Raw genomic sequence first — 22,958 nt, 5'->3', positions numbered from 1 at the left:
CCATATCGCATTCCTAGAAATATTGAAGCTTAAAGAGGTAAAGTGCCTTGTACAAGATTGTGGGGAGTCAGTACCATTGAGTTGGGATTGTGACTCAGTGATCCTGCTCTGAAGCTTTAACACCCATTCTGTGAAGAGCACAAATTTGAAAGCAGGAAAGCTATATTTCTGAGTTGGCTCTCTTGTTAAACAGCTGTGTGACATGGGACAAATCTTTTGGAGTACTAGTAGCCTCATTTTCAGTAATTCGCCCCCCACCCCCGAGATACACACCATTAAGGGTGTTGCAAGAATGAAATAAGAATGAGATGTTAAGAATTTTATTGCATAAAACTAGCCTTAAGCATGACCATAATTGGTTTCTTTTTCTTTGATTCTACTGTGTCTTCCTCTCTTTCTCTTTCTCCCTATCTCCTGTTGAGTAGAATAATAGACTCCAGTGCCAGGTTACTCAGAAGACTATTGCAAGGAAGATTCTCAAGATCATTCTTCCACTGGAAAATCTCACCCTGCAGTTGCCTTGCCATTGATTCCTTGGTAGAAGGCCCGGTTCAAAAATCAAGCCACATTCTTTTGAGGCAAAATAATTCCAAACTTCTTTTTTGTTGTTGTTGTTTGTTTGGTATTCCAAACATCTGCCAGCTCCCATAAGAGCCGTGACAAATATTATTTTGTAGGTCACTGTAGATTTCCTTCACCACAAAATGCTGAGATTTGGAATAATTAGAGCCCAGGGGGCAAATGGGCCTGCTTCTGTCCTTTCTCTGATGGGTTTCACTCATGTCTGCCAGCTGCAGCTGTCTGATTGTATACGCTTGTGGGCAGGGGCAGGGCCTCTTAGCCCAGACAGAGTTAATTAGTATGAGTTAAACTCTTTCTAGGAGCTAAGGCTGTCTTTATAAGGCAAAAGTAAGGAACTTTCTTTATATCCTCTAAAGGGTCATTAATAAGTAGTTAACACCCTGAGAGTGAATTACTCAGAAATTGATGTTAGATCGACTTATATAGCAAAGTATAGAATTGAGTTAGTTACCCAAATCGCTGAAGCCAAAAGAAGTGCATTGTCTGTTTTCTGGGTATTTTAGGCCACAACATTAGGGACAGCATAGCCTTCATGTTCTAGTGGTTTGGGTTTTGGTTTTTAATTAAATGGTCCCTTCCTTATTATAGGTTTGAAGTGATTGGCACTTTTTTTGATAGTGGTTATGAGGGAAGGTTCTAGAATCAGTCAGACATCAAGTTATATCTTAGTGCTGCCACTTGCAAGTTGTGTCACCTTGGGCAAGTCAATCTCTTAAGCCTTAGTTTCTTCATCTGCAAAATGGGCATAATCATGTCTACATCAGAACATTATTAGTAAGAGCCAATGAGATTATGTATGTAAAAGCACTCATTCCTGCCTGGCACATAGCTAGGGCTTGATAAATGGTATCTATTCGTGTATTATTATTATTATTATGGATGTTATTATTGTTAGCCTTATCATTTTCACTACATACTGAGAATAATTTCATTCTTTTTGCTTGTTTGTTTGTTTGTCTGTTTGTTTGTTTTTTGAGATGGAGTCTCGCTCTGTCGCCCAGGCTGGAGTGCAGTGGCGTGATCACGGCTCACTGCAAGCTCTGTCTCCCGAGTTCACGCCATTCTCCTGCCTCAGCCTCCCGATTAGCTGGGACTGCAGGCACTCGCCACCATGCCTGGCTAATTTTTTGTATTTTTTAGTAGAGACGGGGTTTCACTGTGTTAGCCAGGATGGTCTCAATCTCCTGACCTCGTGATCCGCCCGCCTCGGCCTCCCAAAGTGCTGGGATTACAGGCATGAGCCACCGCGCCTGGCCCATTCTGTTTTTTTTTAAACAGTTGTATTGAGGTATAACTTACCCACCACAAAATAGACTCATATTCATTACAGTTTTGACTGATGGAAAAGAAAGGATGGTTCAACTCTCTAAGCCTCTCCCTAATGAAACACACAGCTCCCCTGATTTCTCTCCTTCCACTGTCTTATGGCAGGCACTTTCCAAGCTCTGGTTGTATCTTTTGTTGGTTTCAATTCCTTTTTTCACCACTCACTAGCTTTGTGACTTCAAATAATTCACATAACCTCAGCAATCCTATTTCCCTCAAATGAAAATGAAGGTAAGAATTTACCCTACTTGATTCACAGGGTTGTTATGAAGCTCCATTGTAATAATATATGTGAAATCTCTTTGTAAATGGTCTGCTGGGTTACTATAATTCACAAATATGAGTTTCAATAATATTCAAATGTCATATTGTGTGCTTCAGACATTAGATGCCTTGAGAGATCCAGATTGTGGCTGGAGTTATTTAGAGAATGCTTCGTGGAGGAAAGGCGGCATAAGCTGAACCTTCAAGATCAGATAGGACCTCAATGGGTGGAAAAGAGTCAGGGAGTGGGCAGTCTCGGTGGAGGGATTAAAAAAAAGCAAAACCACAGAGGCTGGAACAAACAGATAAGCACAAAAGTGATTTAAAATGTAGGCGGTGGCCGGGCGCCATGGCTCACGCCTGTAATCCCAGCACTTTGGGAAGATGGGGCAGGCGGATCAATTGAGGTCAGGAGTTTGAGAGCAGCCTGGTCAACATGGTGAAACCCCATCTCTACTTAAAAAAAAAAAATAGCCAGGCGTGGTGGCAGGCGCCTGTAGTCCCAGCTACTTGGGAGGCTGAGGCACGAGAATTGCTTGAACCCAGGAGGCAGAGGTTGCAGTGAGCAGAGCTCGCACCATGCACTCCAGCCTGGGCAACAGAGTGAGACTCAGTCTCTAAATAAATAAATGTGGGAGGGAATAAAGTTACCAGGGCAGTATAATAGATGGGTCCCCTTCTGAAGCAACTGGGGGAAAAGATTAAATGAGATAGCATGGACTCCTTCCTTTCAGGAAAGATAATATCTTATTCATCTAGGAATATTAGCTCCATCTAGGCAGGGACCTTGTCCATGTTCTCTGATCCCTCTCTAACACATATTACAATTCCTGGCACATAGTAGGTGCTCAGTAAATGGTCAACAAATAAAAGAATGGATGGATGGATGGATGGACGGATGGATGGATGGATGGATGGATAGATCATAATGTCAGCTGCTGTACTTGTCTGGCTGTTTTAACATTATTCAAAATCATTGGTCACTGGAGCGGGGACTGTCTTAAAACTCCCTCTATGTAGTACAGCCCCGTCTGCTGTTGGGATTTATGAAATTCTTGTCAATGATGCCAATACTCAGTGTGGTTTTTCTCCACCCTGTTCTAGAAGACTCCTTACCCCCAGTGAACAATAAGGTGACCAGCAAGTCTTGCGAGTACAATGGGACAACTTACCAACATGGAGAGCTGTTCGTAGCTGAAGGGCTCTTTCAGAATCGGCAACCCAATCAATGCACCCAGTGCAGCTGTTCGGTAAGACCCTACATCTTAACATTCCTGCTAGGCCCTACTCAAATACAAGAGCTTCCTCTGTACTTGTACTTTCATTTGTGCCTGCACTGTAAGGTGTTTGAATAAAACATGACTTGCATTAAATCATAAGCCTCCTTGACAATCCAAACTCCCTGATCTTCACCCACCCTGAACAACTCTGTTGAAGGGCTCAGGCCCAATCATATCCCAGTCTTAAAGCTGTAGGACTGCTTAAATGGGCAAAGGTGAGCTGTTTGTGTTGATCGGCGCTCCTTTTCATAATAATTATACCACCAAAGCCTCCATCTGAAGGACTCACAATTATTTGAAGCTTTGGGAATGCTATGGGTGGAAAAGTCACTTTGACTATCTAGGGCCACTCACTCCAATTAACAAGAAAATGAGTTGTCTGTTAGTTCCCATATCTGAAGTATTTTACTAACCAGTTAATTCCTAGTGCCCTGCAATGAGAAAACTCTCTATAAATGCTTGGTCATGATGACTACCAGGACATTACTTGTCAGAAGAACTGCATTTACTTTACAAACAACGTATACTAATTACATCTTATCTAATATGCAGTCCGGAGAATATAATCAATAGAACTAGAAAATGGAGTAAAATGAGTGTTTAAACTGAAGCAGGAAGGAATGAAGTTAGATGTAGTAACAACTTTTCTGCCTGCAAGTGGCATTAAGCACTGGATTGTCAAGGGAAGCTATAGAATCTCTTCCCTTTAGGACTTTTAGTAAGAATATAGTATCTCAGTAGTTTAGGAGAATTTTCGTGTGGCCTTGCTTTCTTAATGGCCTTCCAGGAATCATTCTAGCCCCAAAAGAATGTGCTTCTAAGAACTAAGAACAAGGTTTAAGGAATAACATTTGAAAGATAGAAATTTAGGAAATCAGGATTATTGCAAAGACAGATGTAACCAGCAAGTAAATTTTATCCTCTCCCTTGCCTTGTGCTAGACTGAGCTGTGGCCATCAGATCATCTTGTATAGTTTTGTATTACCCCAGAGAGCTTGTTCCTTTGGTTTGGAAGGGAGAGTCTAGTGAATATTACAAATGGAAGCTATGAAATAAATCTTCATTCCTTTAAACCCCCAATCCAGCTGGGGGACCAAGGGTACCATGAACAGAGAAGAAAGAAACAAGACTATAATTCATGGTTCAGAGGCTCATGGCATCCCTGACAGACTACTTTGTACCACCTTAGACCATGATGCTCGACTAGGATTGCTAACTTTTCTGTGGCTTAGTCTCTGGCATGGAGGAATTGTAGGAGAAAAAAAATAATGCGTAATAAAATGTAGGAAGTACCGAGAACTGACGATGGGAGAGCTGGGGGGAAGGACATGCCGTGTTTTGAGTCCCTGCTCTATTTCAGGTATTAAGTGAAGCCTTTACACTTATCCTAGATGCTTCTAATCTTAATTCTGTTTCTCCTTGGCAGGAGGGAAACGTGTATTGTGGTCTCAAGACTTGCCCCAAATTAACCTGTGCCTTCCCAGTCTCTGTTCCAGATTCCTGCTGCCGGGTATGCAGAGGTAGGTGTGTTATATCCCAAGACCCCTGGGTGCTGCTATCCTGTGTAGTAGAATTTAGAAAGGAGGAAAATACCTGTCTAATGTCCTAGGGAAAGGTAATTTTTATGGTAGCCTTAGTTTTTAAAGGTGGTTTAATTAACAAAGGGAAAAATAAATAAAGCATTGATTTTAAAGGCCACAGCCTTTAAAAAAAAAAAAAAAACTACAGGATGGAGTGCTGTGCTTCAGGGGAGGATGGGAAAGAGTCATCAAATGTGAAAGTGAATATATTTATTTCTCCATCCTTAATCCCTTCTAGCTTGGCCCTTAAATTATTGTATCATAAAACACAGACTATTTTCATTCATAGCCTTAGAAGGAAGAATGGACCTTGCAAGGAATTGATGTGGCCATTTTGAAGACTGTGCAGGGCAAATTTAGGTATACTTTTTAAACCCCATAATAAGATGGTGACAAACTCAATAAAAGCAAAACAGAAAGCATTTTCTCAAATTATATTCAAAATTGAATTGTCTTCTCACATTAGTCTTTTTTTCTTTAGGTTTTATTTTTTTTATAATGGCACCAGTTTTTTCGCTAGGTTCCTGGGATCAAGTGTAATCCCCTTTAATTTCTCCTTTGTTACCTCTTCTCAGATTACCAAATCTTTCAGCAGTTATCTGTATCTCTCCCTTTTCCCACTTTCCCACTGGCAATATCCTTATTTTGTCCTTTTTCCTTCTATCCAGTCAACATATTTTTTGACCATCTACTGTATGCTCAGCATTGTGCTAGAATTGGGGTATTTATATTGATAAATACAGTAGATATATAGGGTGGTGCTAGACCATATGGCATCTTTATGTGAGTTACAAAAAGGATTCCCTTACATAAGATACTTTATTGCCATTTTTCAGAAAATCCCAGGGAAAGCACCTTTGTAGCTGTGGCATCCTTTTGCAGCACACAACCTACACAACAATATATATAGCATACATAGCAGCCAAGATATGTTCTTTGCTCTTATGGAACTCACCAGAAAAGACAAATAATAAGCAAACGTGGAAATACAGATAATGCAAGTACTATGCAGAAAATAAACATAGGACTGAGATTAAAAATAAGTAGTTTATTTAGGTTGAGTTGTCAGGAAGGCCTCTCTGAGAAGGTGACATTTAAGCTGAGACCTGAAAGATAAAAAGAAGTCACCCATGCAAAGATCCCAAAGAAGAACATTCTAAGTAGAGAGAAAAGAAAGTTCAAAGGCCCCAGGCAGGGAAGAGCTTAAAGCATTCAAAGAGCCTAAGGACCAGTGTAGCTGAAATGTAGTGATTGTGGTTGAAACTGACATGGGATGAGGCTGAAGAGGTAACTAGGAATTAGACCATGCAGGATTCTGAAGGCCATGGGAAGGATTTTGGATTTCCATTTTTAATACATTGGGAAGCTATTGGAAGGTTGTGAGAAAGAGTATGAAGTGATCCAATTAACATATTAAAAGATCTCACTGGCTATTATTTCCAGACTAGACTGGAGGGAGGCAATAATGCAAGTGGAGAGACTAGCAAGATGGTTAGGGTAGTACTCTTTCCAGTGTGAGAAAAAGGGTGCTTGGACTGAGAACACAGTAGTGGTTCAGAGTGGAGCCTTTGGAGCCAAACTGCCTTGGTTCTAATCCCAGCCTTGCTACTTTGTAGTTGAATGACCTTATTCAACCTTTCTACCAATCTTTAAAGTGAGGATAATGTTAGCTCCTACCTTCAAGATGTTTGTGAGATTTCAATGAGATAATATAAGAGAAGGACCTGGCACAGTGTCTTGTATATACTGAGGACCCAATAATTAAAAGTGGACAAATTTGAAATACATTTGGAGCCGTGGTTCTCAACTATGGGTGCATATTGGAATTACCTTGGTAGATTTATACCAGATCAGAAGGAGGAGGATGTGATTCCAATATGCAGCTAAGGTTGTGAACCACTGAGTTAGAGGAAAAAAATTATAGGATTTGCTGGTGGGGGATGTGTAGGTGACTTCTATACATTACTGCCATTTTAATCTTCCAAAAAGCAATCCATCACCGTGTTACACCCCTGTTCAAAAATTTTTATGCCAACATGTATTTGGACTTACTATATGTCAGTCCCAGTTCTAACTAAGCATTTTACAGATATGAACTCACTTAATCTCATGACAACCCTATGTGAGGAGTACTATTGTTCTCCCTGTTTTATGGATGAGGAAACTGAGGCAGAGAGCGGTTAAGAATCTTATCCAAGGTCAGGTAGCTAGTGAGTTGAGGAGCTAAGATTTGAATCCTGGCAGCCTGGCTCCATATTTCAGGCTCTAACCACAGTGTTCTGCCACTGAAAGGGATGACTCCCTGTCGCCACTCAAATACATGTCAACCCCCGACTCTGATAGTGAAGGCCTTTCATGGTCTAACCTCAAGTTACCTTTATAGGTCAATATTCTTCCATTCATGCACCTCAGGGCCCACTGCATTGTTCCTGTGCTCTCTTACCTTTTTACCTTTGCTCAGTCCTCTTCCTGTCAGTGTTTCTCACACTTTAGTGTGCTTCAGAATTGCTCAGAGAACTTGTTGAAGTTCAGATTCCTGGATCACACCTGCAGAGATTCTGATTTAGTGGCCTTGGAGTGGGACCCAGGAATCTGCATTTAAGCAGACCCCATCGTTCATTCTGATGCAGAATGGTGGTCTGTGGACTGTCACTTTGAGAAACCATTCCTGAGACCATGTAGATAACCTGGAACCAAGGATTTGTTTTAAAAAATCTGAGTTTAGTGCACTTAAATTGAGCACATTAAAATTCTGAAACCTGAGTGAACCAGTGGAAAAGCAACCAATTTCAGTTCCTGATTGGTTAAAGCATCTAAGTCCGACCATATGGCAACCAATTTGAGATGAATGAGTGGTGGCCATTTCATGATAAGGAACTGGGATGAAAAGGAGACAAAAGGGCTGTCTAAGTAACAACTGCACATGTACAGGTTGGATGGAGAAAATGTTTCCTCTTTCTGGAAAATTCTTTTTCTCCATCCCTGCCTGTGGAAGTCCTGCTAGTCCTTCAAGACCTAGCACAAATGCAGCTTCCTCAGATTCTATTGCAGGCCGTCCTCAGGTCGCATTTTGATAAGTAGTAGTTGGAAGGCCTTTCTTTTCTGCCTTCCCACTTCCATCCCTAATTTCTCCACCCATAAATCCTGCTTATCCTTCAAAATCCAGCCTAATTGCCACTTCTTCCATGAAATGTTTTTAAATCCTGCAAACTAGAAGTAAACCTGTCTCTACTCTAGGACTCCTCAGCACTTAACCTGTGCTTCTTCTGGAGCATTTATCACCTTGTCAACTTCTGTTTTTTATTATTTGTGCCCATGTATTATCATCCCTATTAATGCATAAGCTCTTCAAGACAGATACTCTTTTTCATTTATCTTTATTTCTCCCACTGTGCCAGGCAGAGTAGGTGCTCTTTAAATGAATGCACACTAGATTGGAATGATTACTAGAAATTTAGTCAGGATTTGAATTAGGTGCTACCAAAAAAGAATATGGTTGTTGTGCATTTTTCCCCCTGAATTACTGATTGACTGTGGTAGATGGTGTTGACTATACATTGATTCCTCGTCAATAGGAAATTACTTGGTCTCATTCCTGATCTCCAAGTTGTTTTCTTCCCCTATACCACTTTAGGAAACTACAGTTAACATTGCTTTTTGGAAGGACTGAGCTTGTTTGGACTACCAGTGTATGCTCATCCCTTTTAATATGCTATTTGCATCAGCCCTCATAAGTCAATATGGATTTAGTTACAGCCTAATTTGATTTATGCTTTGGTAAGGCCCTGGATCTTTCCATACATGTTTCTCACAATGTGTGTGTGTATATGTCTGTACTACAGTGTAGCTGTTACATTTCAGTCAAGAAAGATGGATATTTTGTTCCTCACCTCCTTTCTTGTCTTGGCCCCAACTTAATTTCAGTGTGGCTCAAAAGAAAGTCCATACTGAGCAGAGGTGTACATGTGGTTGCTAATATAACCAGTTGGTCACTATAATCCAGCTGTTAGGCTGATATTATTCCCTTTGGGGAAAAGGATATGTGAAATCTAAACTGGAAAACAATTGATAATAGAAAGGAAAGGCAACAGTGAAAAGACATGTCACTGCAACCTAGGGGCAATACGGTATAATGCAAAGGACAGAGGCTCTGAAGCCAGAAGGTCATAGATTTGACATTGCAGGGCTACCACCTACGAGTGCTGTTATCTTGGACAAACTATTTAACCACTCAAAACCTTGGTTTTCTCAGGTGTAAAAATGGAGATTATGCTTACTACGTATGAAATGGGTTGTGTAGATTAACTGAGATGGCGTAGAGTGCTAGGAGATGGCCTAATACAGAGTTATTGGTTTATAAGTAACAATTACTATATTTTATATAGTAATTACTATATTTATTACCCCCGAGTTAAGTATCATTGCACCTTCTCCTCTATCTTTGATAGTTTTGCCTTTTTAAAATGTAATCTCCATAGACAGAACTTTAGTTCTAGTTCTTCTTGTGGTAACAGATCCTGGAACTAGCTATTTTATGTACTGTTCTATCGTTACAATTTAAATTTCTTTTCTTTTTTATGTCCTCAGAAGCAACAGATAAAAGCTAGTTATTACTGGCCATGTATTGTCCCTTTATATACTTGATAATTCATTAAGTTCTTTCTTTGCAACCTCTCATCCAGCCTAAATGCACAATTTTCTTTCATCTTCCTTTATAAAGACTAAATCCTACACTTTTGTAAAAATTGTTGTTCTTTCATTGCCTCCAGTTTCTTTGCATCTTTCAGCTGTATATAATGTGGTTGAAACTCCTTTGAAGTTCTAACTTTTGAAGCACCTAGTTATTTTTTCCCATGGAAATGACGTTTTTACAATACTGTATCTTATATAAGCGTATTACTCATACAGCAGGGAACCCAGAAACCTCTCCCCTATGCTGGCCACCCTGACTGCAGGCCAAATACTGAAGAAGAAATAATCTTTTGACTGCTGAACTTGCAAACCTTCATATAAAGGGCATTGAAATAGCCTCTCTGCACTGTCCCCAAACACTAATGTGTGTCTTTCTTCCTGGGTCAGACAGCAATCCTAGACGCGGATTGAATCTCAGACCTAGCCTTCATTGGCTAGACGTGTCTTTGAGGCTGGGACAGTCAAGGAGAGCGTTGGCAGAATGTGTGTCATTGCTAGCACTTCAGCAAACCTCATTAGGACTGGAAGCATAGTGCAAACAGCCACTGGAACCTTAAGGGAAATTTTATCAGAAGAAAAAATCTCTTCAGATCCTGTGTTAGTTTGCTAAGGATGATAGCCTCCAACTCCATCTATCTTCCTGCAAAAGACATGCTCTCATTCATTTTTATGGCTGCATAGTATTCCATGGTGTATATATACCACATTTTCTTTATCCAGTCTGTCATTGATGGGCATTTAGGTTGATTCTGTGTCTTCAGAATTGTGAATACTGCTGCAATGAACATTTGCGTGCATGTGTCTTTTTTTTTCCCCAAATACTGCATGTTCTCACTTATAAGTGGGAGCTAAATGATGAGAACTTACGAACACAAAGAAGGAAGTAACAGACACTGGGGTCTTCTTGAGGATGGAGGGTGAGAGGAGGGAGAGAAGCAGGAAAGAATCTGTACAACAAACCCTCATGACAGGAGTTTACCTATGTAACAGACTTTCATAGGTATCCTCAAACCTAAAATAAAAGTTTTTTTTTTTTTAAATCTCTTCAGAGATTATACTACTGCCACATTCTGGGAAGGCAGGCTTCAAACCCAAACCCACACCCAGCTTCCCTCCACCATTGATCATTTCCACTTCCTGTCCCCTGCTCATCTTGCCAAAACAACAGGGAAGGCTATGTACTTGGACTCTAGACAAGGGAAAGGTATTTGGGGTAGGTATTAACTGTATTGAAAGCCAAGTATGCATTTAGTAAATGGTGTCTAAATGTAGCACGTACAATGTGCCAGACAATGTTCTAAGCACTTATGTGTGGAATAGCTCATTTGATCCTGGCAAAAATAGTAGCAACTATTTATATCCCCATTCTACAGATGCGGAAGCTAAGGCAGAAAAGTTGAGTGATTTGTCCAAGGACAAATGGTAGTAAGTGGCAGAGCTAGAATTTTAACCTGGTCAGTCTGGCTTCAGAGTTTCAAGCTCTTAACTTCTATACTACCTGTTGGGACCCATTCATAGGAGTATGACAAGGATATCTCCTAGTACAGGGGAGTAAAGGGGAAGACGGGACATGCATGGCACATTGTTGTGTGCAGATACTCCTAAGAGAGTATCTTACCACACTGCCCATGTTTTCCCATCAAGGCCTTAACTTACCCTTCTCTCACTCTAGGCTTAAAGTGTCTTGAGTGTAAATGTCTACTTTCTTTCATTCAGCAAACATTGTTAAGCAATCACTAAGAGCCTGGCACTGCACCAGTGCTAGAGATACAATGGTGAACAAAAATGGACATGGAACCTGCCTTCATGGAGTTTTAGTAGGGAAGATAGACACCACGTCATGATATAAGTAATTATAAAATTGCAACTGTGCCACATGCCACAAAGGAAAGTTGTTATAAAAGCCAATAATTGAGAGGGGTTGACCTAGTCAGGGAGGTGAAGGAAGACTTCTGAGACTGTCTCTCCAGCCTCAACTCGCACCACATCCCTCCTTGTTCTCTGCACTCCAGGGTGAGGAAAGATTGGCTCAAAAATTAGGGAGATAACTGGTGGCAGTCATACACTCCTGGGATCCCCAACTTCTGATCCCACCATGAATCCAGTCCCTCCCCAGGCTGTAGGGGTCTATAATGTTCTTTCTACATTATACATGCTACATAATACCCTAATCTAGGAATTTTCTTTTACTCTTCTTTCTTTTGGCTGTTTCCTGTTTTTCAGAGACAGGGTCTCACTCTGTCATCCAGGCTGTAGTGCACTGGCACAATTATAGCTCACTGCAGCCTCAAACTACAAGCTACCCTTCTGTCTCAGCCTCCTGAGTAGCTGGGACTACAGGCGTGCACCACCGTGCCCAACCAATTTTTTTTTTTTTTTAGAGACATGGTCTCGCTATGTTGCCCAGGTTGGTCTCAAACTCCTGGTCACAAATGATTCTCCTGCCTCGGCCTCCCAAAGTGCTGGGATTACAGACATGAGCCCAGCCTAGGAATTTTCTTTTTGAGAAACTACTTGATCATGCTACCATTTCTTACCATATTATCCAATCTGAATTTTTCAGCTTGTTTTTAAAGACCCTCTGTGAAACAGTCTGATCCTTCCTTAACCTACTTTCCAGCCTCATTTCTCTGACACCAACACACACATCTCCTTTAGGCTGGCTGGCTGATCTCTTTGTTCTGTTACATGCTATGTTTCTTCCTACCTTCCCTCCTGTTATGTGCTTCACTTAAACTGTTATTTTTCACAAGCTTGGAATAGCCCCCGCTCCTCTTCTACCTATTCGCATCCTACTCATCTTTCAAGGGTCCAGTTGAAGTTGCACCTCTTCTAATAGTTTTGCCCAATCACTCTAGTTCTCATTGATCTTCTTTGACCACCTTCAGGACTTAATCTGGTTCAAAAATAAGCATTCAGAAATATATTCTTGCACTGTTATTGCTTTGTGTCTTCCTGTTTCCCCTGGCATAACATAATATTAATCATATATCATGCTGACTGGTTTATTTAATACAAAAAGAGCCACAGTCACAAAAAGCTCTTGACAGCATTCCAAGTACAGATGCAGTAGGGAGGCAGGAGAAATGGTGGAACTTACAATTTGCTCAACCCAAGCCCGTTCATCCAACATATCTCAAATGAGCCCAGGGAGAAAATGGAAGTCACTTTTTATGAAATTTTGATATTTCTGCTAACTCCTTCAAGGTAAATGAAACTGGAAGCAATTGTTTAAAAGTATATTAGTCAGTGTTCAAGATAAGTGCCATTTTACCTAAGACACTTGATTTCTCTTTCCGAAAGAGCAGCAAAATTGCACCTCAGATCCCATCTCAGCTAGAATCCGGGATCTTCAGGGAAGTGGTATGTGAGATACTTCATTGATTTTAAACATCATAAAAATTGACCAGTTTTTCAAAGTTTTCAAAATCAAAGAAAACTGAAGAAAATAACAGCAAATCCAAATATAGATTCTCACAAATTAGTCTCAAGTTGTTTATGTTTTGGCCCACATTTTCTGCAGAAACACCACCATCTCCTGGTCATGATGATAGGAAAGAAACATTGTTAATGAGAAACACTACTTTAAAAAATGAAAATTCATCTTGTATAACTGAAACCTTATGCCTGTTGATTAGCAGCTCCCCACTTCCCCCTCCAAGGTGAACAAGTTCTAAAGATCTGCAGTACAACATTGTGTGTGTATAGTTAACCATATAGTATTGTATACTTAAGTTTGTTAAAAGGGTAAATCTCGTTAAGTGTCCTTACCACAATAAAATAAAAAAAATTAAAATTAACTCAGTAATTTTTGAGTTTATACATTCTCACCTAAACTTCAAAATACAGTCCGCCCTCTATATTCACTGGTTGCACATCCATGGATTCAACCAACTGCAGATAGAAAATAATTTTTAAAAACACGTTAAAAGTAACAGTACAACAATCTAAAAATTACAAATTTTAGAAACCAATATAGTAAAATGACTATTTACATAGCATTTACATTGTATTAAGTTTTATAAGTAATCTAGAGATTATTTAAAGTATATGGGAGTATGTGTGTAAGTTATATGCAAACACTATGCCATTTTTTATCAGGGACTTGAGCATCTGTGGATTTTGGCATCTGTGGGGGGTCGTGGAACCAATTCCGCATAGATACTGAGGGACGACTGTGTATTGATATACTCTGATATTTTCATAGCTATAGAAGAGTCTCGCTGTCATTAATAATACCTTTTCAAAAGTGAATCATTTATGTTCATGTGTATGGGACCATTTTAGAGATTTGCCATCCTCACCTACCTCTCCTCATCTAAATCCCAACTGGATCTCCTTCCATGGAAATGTTCCAGATTGTTTTTGCTTTCTCTCCATCTCTTGTGCTCAAAATTCATCCCCACGTACTTGCTGACTGTCCCAGGACCCCGTCCCTCTAAGGTCATCATGTTCCTTCTTGGCATGTTTCTTACGTCTAGAATATTTCTTCTTGAATAGAAAGTCATTCAGACAGTGGATGGGACAGCGTTGACTTTCACATTGAGTTTAACAAATTAATAGCACTGATTCCTAATCGGCCATCTGGGTTGTCCTGTCAGGGTCAGTAATACCCCATTCTGTTTCTGGGATTGGAGGACTTTTTTGTGTGTATATGAATCTGTTTCTATAATAAAAATAAGGAATTCCCAGTGAAGCATTTCAGAGCAATTATTTCTTCATGGGTGGTTAAAGCCACTCTTTCTTCAACCTTATTCTTTCTAACTCCTTCAAGGAATTCCATAGCTGCCCAGAAACACCATTGGATGTGCCCATTACTCACATTATAATAGTCTTTATGAGCTTAGACTCCAACAATTTATAGAAATCAACCTGGTTTGTTGACTGACAGTGCAAACAGAGGTAAAAGATACATGAGAAGGAAGAGCAGTGTATACAACTGACTGCTTTTCATTTTCAGGTTGACCAGACAGTCAGCATGGGTAGGTCATTGAGTTTCTCCTCTCTGTCCTGCTTTTTATTTTCAGTTCATGGATGTGGTAGCACAGAACTCTACTTTATTTGGATACTTGGATTTTTTTTTTTAAGACAGAGTCTCTGTTGCCCAGGCTGGAGTGCAGTGGCATGACCTCAGCTCACTGCAACCTCTGCCTCCTGGGTTCAAGTGATCCTCCCGCCTCAGCCTCCCAAGTAGCTCAGACTACAGGCGCTCACCACATCTGGCTAACTTTTGTATTTTTAGTAGAGACGGGGTTTCCCGATGTTGTCTAGGCTGGTCTCAAACTCCTTACCTCAGATGATCTACCCGCCTCAGCCTCCCAAAGTGCTGAGATTACAGGCATGAGTCACCGCGCTCAGTGGGCACTTGGATTTTTAAGACTTCACTTTATAACTTTGTAAATTGTACTCCTACCAATGAAGCAGATATCTTTCCTGTCAAGCCTCATTTTTAGCCAAGAGAGAAAAGAGATTTTAATTAAGATGCAAACTCTTTTTTAAAAAATTGGAAATAGAGGACTAGCATAATTATGAGAAATTCTAAGCCAGTTTAGAAGGTGTGAGCCGAAGAAATCTCTCTAGCCATTTTTAAAAATATCTCCAGGACCCTGTCTTCCAATGATTTAGAGATGAAATGATTCCTTTTCAATGTGCAGGCATGCAGTTATCTTTGCTAGGCTTTGTTTGCTTGTTTGTTTGTTTGTTTGTTTGATCCAAGCCCTTTTCTTTGTTAAATACACAGCACACTTGTGGGAGTCCCTTAAGCCGGGTATTCCCCCATGTGTAAGCTACCCTTGAGGAGAAGGAGGAAAAAGAAGTGGAGGCAAAGAATGGGAAGAAAGGGGATTAGGAATAGCAGCTAACATTTAGCTGACACAGTGTGCCAAGCACAATTCTAAATGCTTTGCATATACTAATTCATTTAATCTTCACAACCCTATAAGGTAGGCATTATTGTCTCCATTTTAGCAATAAGGAAACTGAGGCACAGAGAAGTTAATTCATTTGCCCAAAGTCACATAAGTAGGAAGGAGCAGAGCCAGAATTTGAATCCAAACTGTTTGGCTCCAATCTGTTCTCTTAGCCATTATATTATACTGCCTCTCAACTTGGGGAAGCAAAGCAAATTTGGGAACTCTTATTTCTGAGGCTACCGGGAGGAACAGACTGTGTGATGACCATCTTTCCAGGGGCCAGATATGGTAACAATCCAGCAGATGCATTGGGACTGCTCTGAGAAGCAAAGATTCTGTTTCTCACCATAAACTTGGATCTGTTTAGCCACATCTCCATTGAAAGAGCAGAGTGTGGATGGTGGGTACCATCCAGCTCGTAGTTTCTGTATTCACTCTCTTCTGATTTCCTCCTGGAAACGCATGCATTCTCACAATGCACTTTTTAAAAAGTAAGTATTTATGATTTTTCTGGACAAATAATTTTGTACTCTTCTTCAGATTTGGCTTGCTACTGTTGGCAGGAATTCCCCCCGTTGTGTGTGTTTTGGTATTTCTCAAGGAGCTATTTTGTTAAAAATACTAAGATCTTATATTGACAGCCCAAACAATAAAGTACTTCATTTGACAAAGAAGTATTTTTTAAGAAAATAACTGTCTGATCCTTTTTATGGCTGTATAGTATTCCATGGTGTATATGTGTCACATTTTCTTTATCCCATCTATCATTGATGGGCATTTGGGTTGGTTCCAAGTCTTGCTATTGTGAATGGTGCTGCAATAAACATACCGGTGCATGTGTCTTTATAGTAGCATGATTTATAATCCTTTGGGTATATACTCAGTAATGGGATTGCTAGGTCAAATGGTATTTCTGGTTCTAGATCCTTGAGAAATCACCGCACTGTCTTCCACAATGGTTGAACTAATTTACACTCCCACCAAGAGTGTAAAAGTGTTCCAATTTCTCATCCTTTCCAGCATCTGTTGTTTCCTGACTTTTTAAGGATCACCATTCTAACTGGCATGAGATGGTATCTCATTGTGGTTTTGATTTGCACTTCTCTAATGACCAGTGATGATGAGCTCTTTTTCATATGTTTGTGGGCCATATAAATGTCTTCTTTTGAGAAGTGTCTGTTCATATCCTTTGCTCACTTTTTGATGGGGTTGGTTTTTTTTTCTTGTAAATTTGTTTAAGTTCTTTGTAGGTTCTGGATATTAGCTCTTTGTCAGATAGATAGATTGCACAAATTTTCTCCCATTCTGTAGGTTGCCTGTGCACTCTGATGATAGTTTCTTTTGCTGTGAAGAAGCTCGTTAGTTTAATTAGATCCCATTTGTCTAGTTTGGCTTTTGTTGCCATTGCTTTTGGTGTTTTAGTCATGGAGTCTTTGCCCATGCCTATGCCCTGAATGGTGTTGCCTAGGTTTTCTTCTAGGGTTTTTATGGTTTTAGGTCTTACGTTTAAGCCTTTAATCCATCTTGAGTTAATTCTTGCATGAGGTGTAAGGAAGGGGTCCAGTTTCATTTTTCTGCATATGGCTAGCCAGGTTTTCCCAACACCATTTATTAAATAGGGAATCTTTTCCTCCATTGCTTGTTTTTCTCAGGTTTGTCAAAGATCAGATGGTTACAGATAAGTGGCATTATTTCTGAGGCCTCTGTTCTGTTCCATTGGTCTATATATCTGTTTTGGTACCAGTACCATGCTGTTTTGGTTACTGTAGCCTTGTAGTATAGTTTGAAGTCAGATAGTGTGATGCCTCCAGCTTTGTTCCTTTTGCTTAGGATTGTCCTGGCTATATGGGCTCTTTTTTGGTTCCATTTGAAATTTAAAGTAGTTTTTTCTAATTTTGTGCTTTATAAAACTTGCAGATTTCTTGTATTGTTGTATATCATCATTGGAAGCTCAAATGCCTATCAGTGGAGAATCCTTATACTAGTTTCCTTTTAAAGCTTCTCTCAAATTTCAGCACACTTGCTCCCTCCCAGCAGAATTTATAGAATTAGATGTTTGGCAGAGGCTCCCTAAAGTCATCTGCTTCTACTCACTTCTTCATCTCTAGCTTCGGTATGGAGCACTGGCATTAAAGTGCTCCCCCATGGAACCCAGCTCATGGTAAGGAGAGACTTCACAATGGGTTTATTCCTCCCTGCTCTCTTCCACTTTGCCCTGATTCTGCTCATTTCAACTTCTGCCTCAAAAAATACAGAGAACATTTCCCCTGTCTCAGGGATTTGTCTCATGTCCCTTTGCCTTATGATTAGAGTGACTATGTAATTTACTATCTCAACCGAGGCACATTTTGAAAGCAAGAGCTGCAATCTTAATAATTATGCCTGCCAGAAAAACAGGCAATAAAACTGAGTTGTCTGAGATAAATCTGCTCTATGGCTACCCTATTTATGATGTATGGTTCAAAAGTGGCCACATGCTGGCATAGTTTTGCTCTCTGAGGCTTATCTTCATGGGTATCTCGGAATCTCATTGTACACTTAGTCCTTTTGAGAGGACAGTTTACCTCTCTGACCTGCTCAAGCCACCAGAGATTAATGGAAGCCACAGGAGTTATAAACAGTCTGAATTTCAGCCTAGCTTTTGGCCATTTTTCAAATACTTGTTCTCCCTTTCTCCCACTACTAGAAAGCCAACCCATTACAGCTTCATAGGGTACCACTCAGAGAGAGTATGACTGAGGTTTGAATAAACAATACATGTGGCTTTTAGGGTTAAATGAATATTGTTTGACATACAGTACACTACACTTGTTTTTATTTCAGTTCAAAAAATTGGTTAAAATTATATCTTGTTGCTTCTCAAAATTAATTAGAATCCATCTGAATCCATTAGAATCTCTGTTTTTTGTTTTGTTTTGTTTTTTACAAAAAGACTTGGCTGAATGAAAAAGCCTCCATCTCATTCAGATAATCTTTCCAGTGATCAGACAAAAAGAGCAAAGAAACAGGTTTTTTAGGGTATTGGTGCCTACTTTTTTTCAAAGTATGATATCTAAGGTTGCAAATGGACATACCTATTTTCAGCTATCCAGACAGACTGTACCCAGGTCTAGAGAACCACTTATAGCCTTATAAAATGTCAACATCTAAGAAGATAATTCCAGTTTAATTATGGGTTAAATTAAATAGAATAATTCAAATGTTAAAACGTTTAGCAGCTACTTAATAGACTTAATAGAACATTGAAGTTTAGAGAATGCAATTTTGATGACTTTGAAAGCTCAGAGGCACCAGAAATGCTAACAGTTCCTAGTATTTATATATTTAATGTATATAATTTATAATGTACATAGTATATCTTATATATAAATATAGTGTATATATACATATATGTGTGTATTTATATACAGGTTAAATATCCCTTGTCCAAAATGCTTGGGACTGGAAGTATTTCAGATTTCCGATGTTTTTGGATTTTGGAATATTTGCATTGTACTTACCAGTTGAGCATCTCTAATCCAAAAACCCCAAATCCAAAAATGCTCCAGTGAGAATTTCCTTTGAGCATCATCAGCACTCAAAAACTTCTGGAGCATTTTAGACTAGGAATACTAAAACCTGTATGATATATATAACATACAGTTTTAGTATGATATAGATGATATATATATATATATCATACAGTTTTAGTATGATATAGATGATATATATATGTAATACAGGTTTAGTATTCCCCCATTACTTGTTTTTGTCAGGTTTGTCAAAGATCAGATGGTATATATATGTGTCTGTGTGTATATATATATGTGTGTGTGTATATATATATATGTGTATATATATGTGTGTATATATATATGTGTGTGTGTATATATATATATATATATATATAGTCTCCATTACTTTTTAATGAAGTGCTGAAATTTAGGTATGCATTCTTGTCTGCAAATGCTCATCAAATACACATCACGACACACTCATCTGATTTGTGTTACAGGGTATTAGTATTCTTCTCCTATGCCTGATAGTGACTTGCCTCCTTGATTTTCCATCTTACCTCTCTGCTCATTTGTAAGAGGCGCTATGTGCTTCTATAATGCTTTGAGATTCTGACTGGACTATAAGTATTTAATGACACTCTTTAATTAAAATCCTTTTAAAAACTCTAGGGTATAAATTAAATAAACTGAACTTTTCAGAAGGCCAGCTAAGTAAACATTTTATGTCAATACCAATCATTAAATCTACATTTTAAAAGGACATTTGATGAAGAGAACTAGTCTATCATTTTTCTTTTGCAACTTGTTTTCTCCCTTTTGACTACTTAAATTAGGCTTGAAACCACATTATATAGCTTTTACATTTTGTTTTGCCATTTGCTGGTAAATCTTTACTGGTTTCTATTCGTCTCTCTAGTCCCATATTTTATTTGGCCCAGACCCACTACTGCCCACTGAAACAAGGGGGACAAGTAAATCTAAGCTCATCCCTGCTCAATCACTGTCCCCAGCTCTCCAGATTTGCAACCCAAGAGTTGTCAGATACTGATTTCCCCTTTGCCTTCCTTCCCCATCATCAAATCTTCCTTCAGGGTCTTATCAGTTTCTTTTCATCTGTAGGAGTCTCATTCAATCCTTCTTGTGTGTTATTGCACAGATGCTCATGGCCTATTACATATTACTATAGCAGCTTCCTGTATGGCCTCCTGCATTCGAGTTACTCCCCAACTAGTCTATACCCCATTGCCAGAATAGGCTTCCACAAATATCAGTTTTATCATAGGAACCCCTACAGAAAAATTGGCAACATAATCAAATGTGAATTCTTCAGCCTTTTACAAAATTTTATATTTTTTTGAATTTTTACTGTTTACTTTTTACAATTTAATTATTTTCTTAAAATTGTGTGGGTACATAATAGGCATATATATTTATGAGGTACATGATATGTTTTGATACAGGCATGCAATATGAAATGAACACATCATGGAGAATAGGGTATCGATCCCCTCAAGCATTTATCTTTTAAGTTACAAATGATCCAATTACACTCTTTAAGTTATTTTAAAATGTACAAGTAAGTTATTATTGACTATAGTCACCCTATTGTGCTATCAAATAGTAGCACATTATTTACTACCCCTATTTACCTCAACAACACACCCCACTGTCATTCTCCCTCCCTCCTTCGCTCTCCCTCTCCTCCCTTTCTCTCTACAAGTTCAATTACCAGCGTAATTTCTCTTGTTTTCATATCTGAAGTTTCTACTCAAGCCACACCTTGCTTGCTGTCTCCAGTATGTGACTTGCTGTTTACAAAGCTCTGGTCCTTTGCCAATGTCACTCCCTTTGGTTGAGGTACTCTCTGCCCTTATCACTGTCGGTTTATGCTGTGCAGTATCTACTTCTAAAAATGTGACTTAATGGTTCTTTCAGGAAGCTTTCTACGATTACATCTGACTGCTCACTCATCCCATTCAGTGTCTCCTAAGCATGTGTATTTCATTTGTATTTGCTTTTTTTGTGTGTTTTTAGGCTGTTTCCTATATTGATTTCCCATCACCTCCAACCTGGGTGTAAATATCCTGAGGGCAAGAGCCCAGCCTGATTTTCTCCTCTTTCTGCTGTAGTATCAGGCTCTTCACCCAAGAAGTGTTCAAAGCATGTTAACTGACTCTTGGGCATAATTTTCTAGTTATAAACATAGTTGAAATCATCTTTGTTTTACAGTAGTCAGTCAGGGTTTCCACAGAGTTCAGCTTGCAGTCTACAATCTTTACTCAGACATGGAATAAAACAGGCAGAAAAGAGTATATATACTATTGACCAAGCACTTAATTCTGTATGTTTTACTGCAGTTCAATTCAATACATATATTGAGCACCTGATGTGTACGCAGCAATATGCTAAGTGCTCCAGCCTGGTTATTCACAAACTCCTGCATCCATCAGAATCCCCTGGAAGGCTTGTCAAAACCCAGGATCACCAGCCCCCATCCTGAGTTTCTGACTTAGTAGGTATGGGTTGGGATCTGAAATTTGGCATTTCTAACAAGTTTCCAGGTAATGCTGATACTGCTAGTCCAGGAAGCACATTTTGAGAAGCAGTGGTCTAGGAGATACAGAGGTGGTCTAAGACATAATCTCTCATTCCAAGGAATTTACAGACTCTCTAGGGAGACAAGGAAGGCCCAGAAAACATTTAACAGTAATAAATATTGTACAGTGTTTTAGTATTTATTGATTCGACAAATATTGAATAAGTACTATGTGCCCAGCACTGCCCCAGATGCTGGAGTTACATCAGTAAACACAATAGACAAAAATCCCTGCTGTCATGGGGGGATTCTAATATGGGAAAGCAGACAATAAACAAAATAAATAAAATATAAGAAATATAAGATAGTAATAACTGCTAAGGAGAAAAAGCAAAGAGCAGGCATAAATATCAGATGGGGGTTGGAACTATAGATAGGGTGGTCAGAGAAGGCCTCCCAGTTCCATCATTTGACAAGTATTTATTGAGCGACTACTATGTATCAGGCACTGTTATAGATGATGGTGATATAGTAACACAGGTAATGAACCCTTTTCTTATGGAATGGACATACCTATTTGGGAGCCAGGTAACCTAGAGTTTTGGTGTTAATTCTCACAAACTCATTATTAGACTCTGAATGGCTACTTCCCCTCTCAGCCATGGTTTCTTCATCTGTTAAATGGAGCAGTTGGACAAAGTTATGCTTGACGTCCTCTATACTTCTAAAACTTCAGGATGCTTAGTCTTTTAGGCAATCAGAAATATGTAAGAGTGTTTGAAGAAGACTTTGCAGAGGAGAGAAAACTTAAATGGTTTTCACAGGCATGGGGGAGCTATGGGGTGTGGGAGATGGAAGGTAATTTCAGAAGAAGAATAACATGAGCTACAGCACGGAAGCAACAATGGGAGTCCAGTATTCAGTGAAGAGCAAGTAGCTCAAAGGGTTCCCATTGAAGAGTAGCTGAGATCATTGGGTAGGCAGTAGGGGGTGATTGTAGAGAGTCTTGGTTGGGAACCCACTGAGGGTTTTGATCAGGGAATGACACGATTATACAATCAAAGTGGTGTTTTACTGTTTTATGAAGATTAACCTAGCAAATAGTTAAATCCTCAAAATTCATTATTTTTCATCAGATAATATTTGAATTATGAAGATTTACAGTCATACTCTGTTATAAGTCACTGCCTGATTCTAATATTGCTATCAAACTAATTTTTAGGTCGTTTTCAAGCCCTTAAAAGCCTATGATACTACCTAATTTCCCCTAACACTACTACTACATGCTT

At 39.2% G+C, this 22,958-nt stretch overlaps 1 protein-coding gene across 12 annotated transcripts in view; it reads left to right on the top strand.

The window, feature by feature from the left end:
- The window catches only part of CHRDL1 (chordin like 1), a 121,962-nt gene that overhangs the window by 71,011 nt on the left and 27,993 nt on the right, over positions 1-22,958 (top strand). For 6 of the 12 annotated variants that reach the window (NM_001367208.1, NM_001367206.1, NM_001143981.2 and 3 more), the window contains exons 5-6: positions 3,277-3,422; positions 4,879-4,972. The exons of 1 other annotated variant lie outside the window; for it this stretch is intronic. In NM_001367208.1, coding sequence (NP_001354137.1) covers positions 3,277-3,422; positions 4,879-4,972 — 240 coding nt within the window. Of the gene's footprint in view, positions 1-3,276; positions 3,423-4,878; positions 4,973-21,490; positions 21,646-22,958 lie in introns of all 12 variants that reach the window. 5 more of the 12 variants (NM_001367207.1, NM_001143982.2, NM_145234.4 and 2 more) reach the window with 2 other exon arrangements.

Source organism: Homo sapiens, chromosome X (assembly GCF_000001405.40).
Source record: "Homo sapiens chromosome X, GRCh38.p14 Primary Assembly".
NCBI classification, from domain to species: domain Eukaryota; kingdom Metazoa; phylum Chordata; class Mammalia; order Primates; family Hominidae; genus Homo; species Homo sapiens.
Note: the sequence above shows the minus strand (reverse complement) of the source record. Positions and strands in the feature narration are given on the sequence as shown.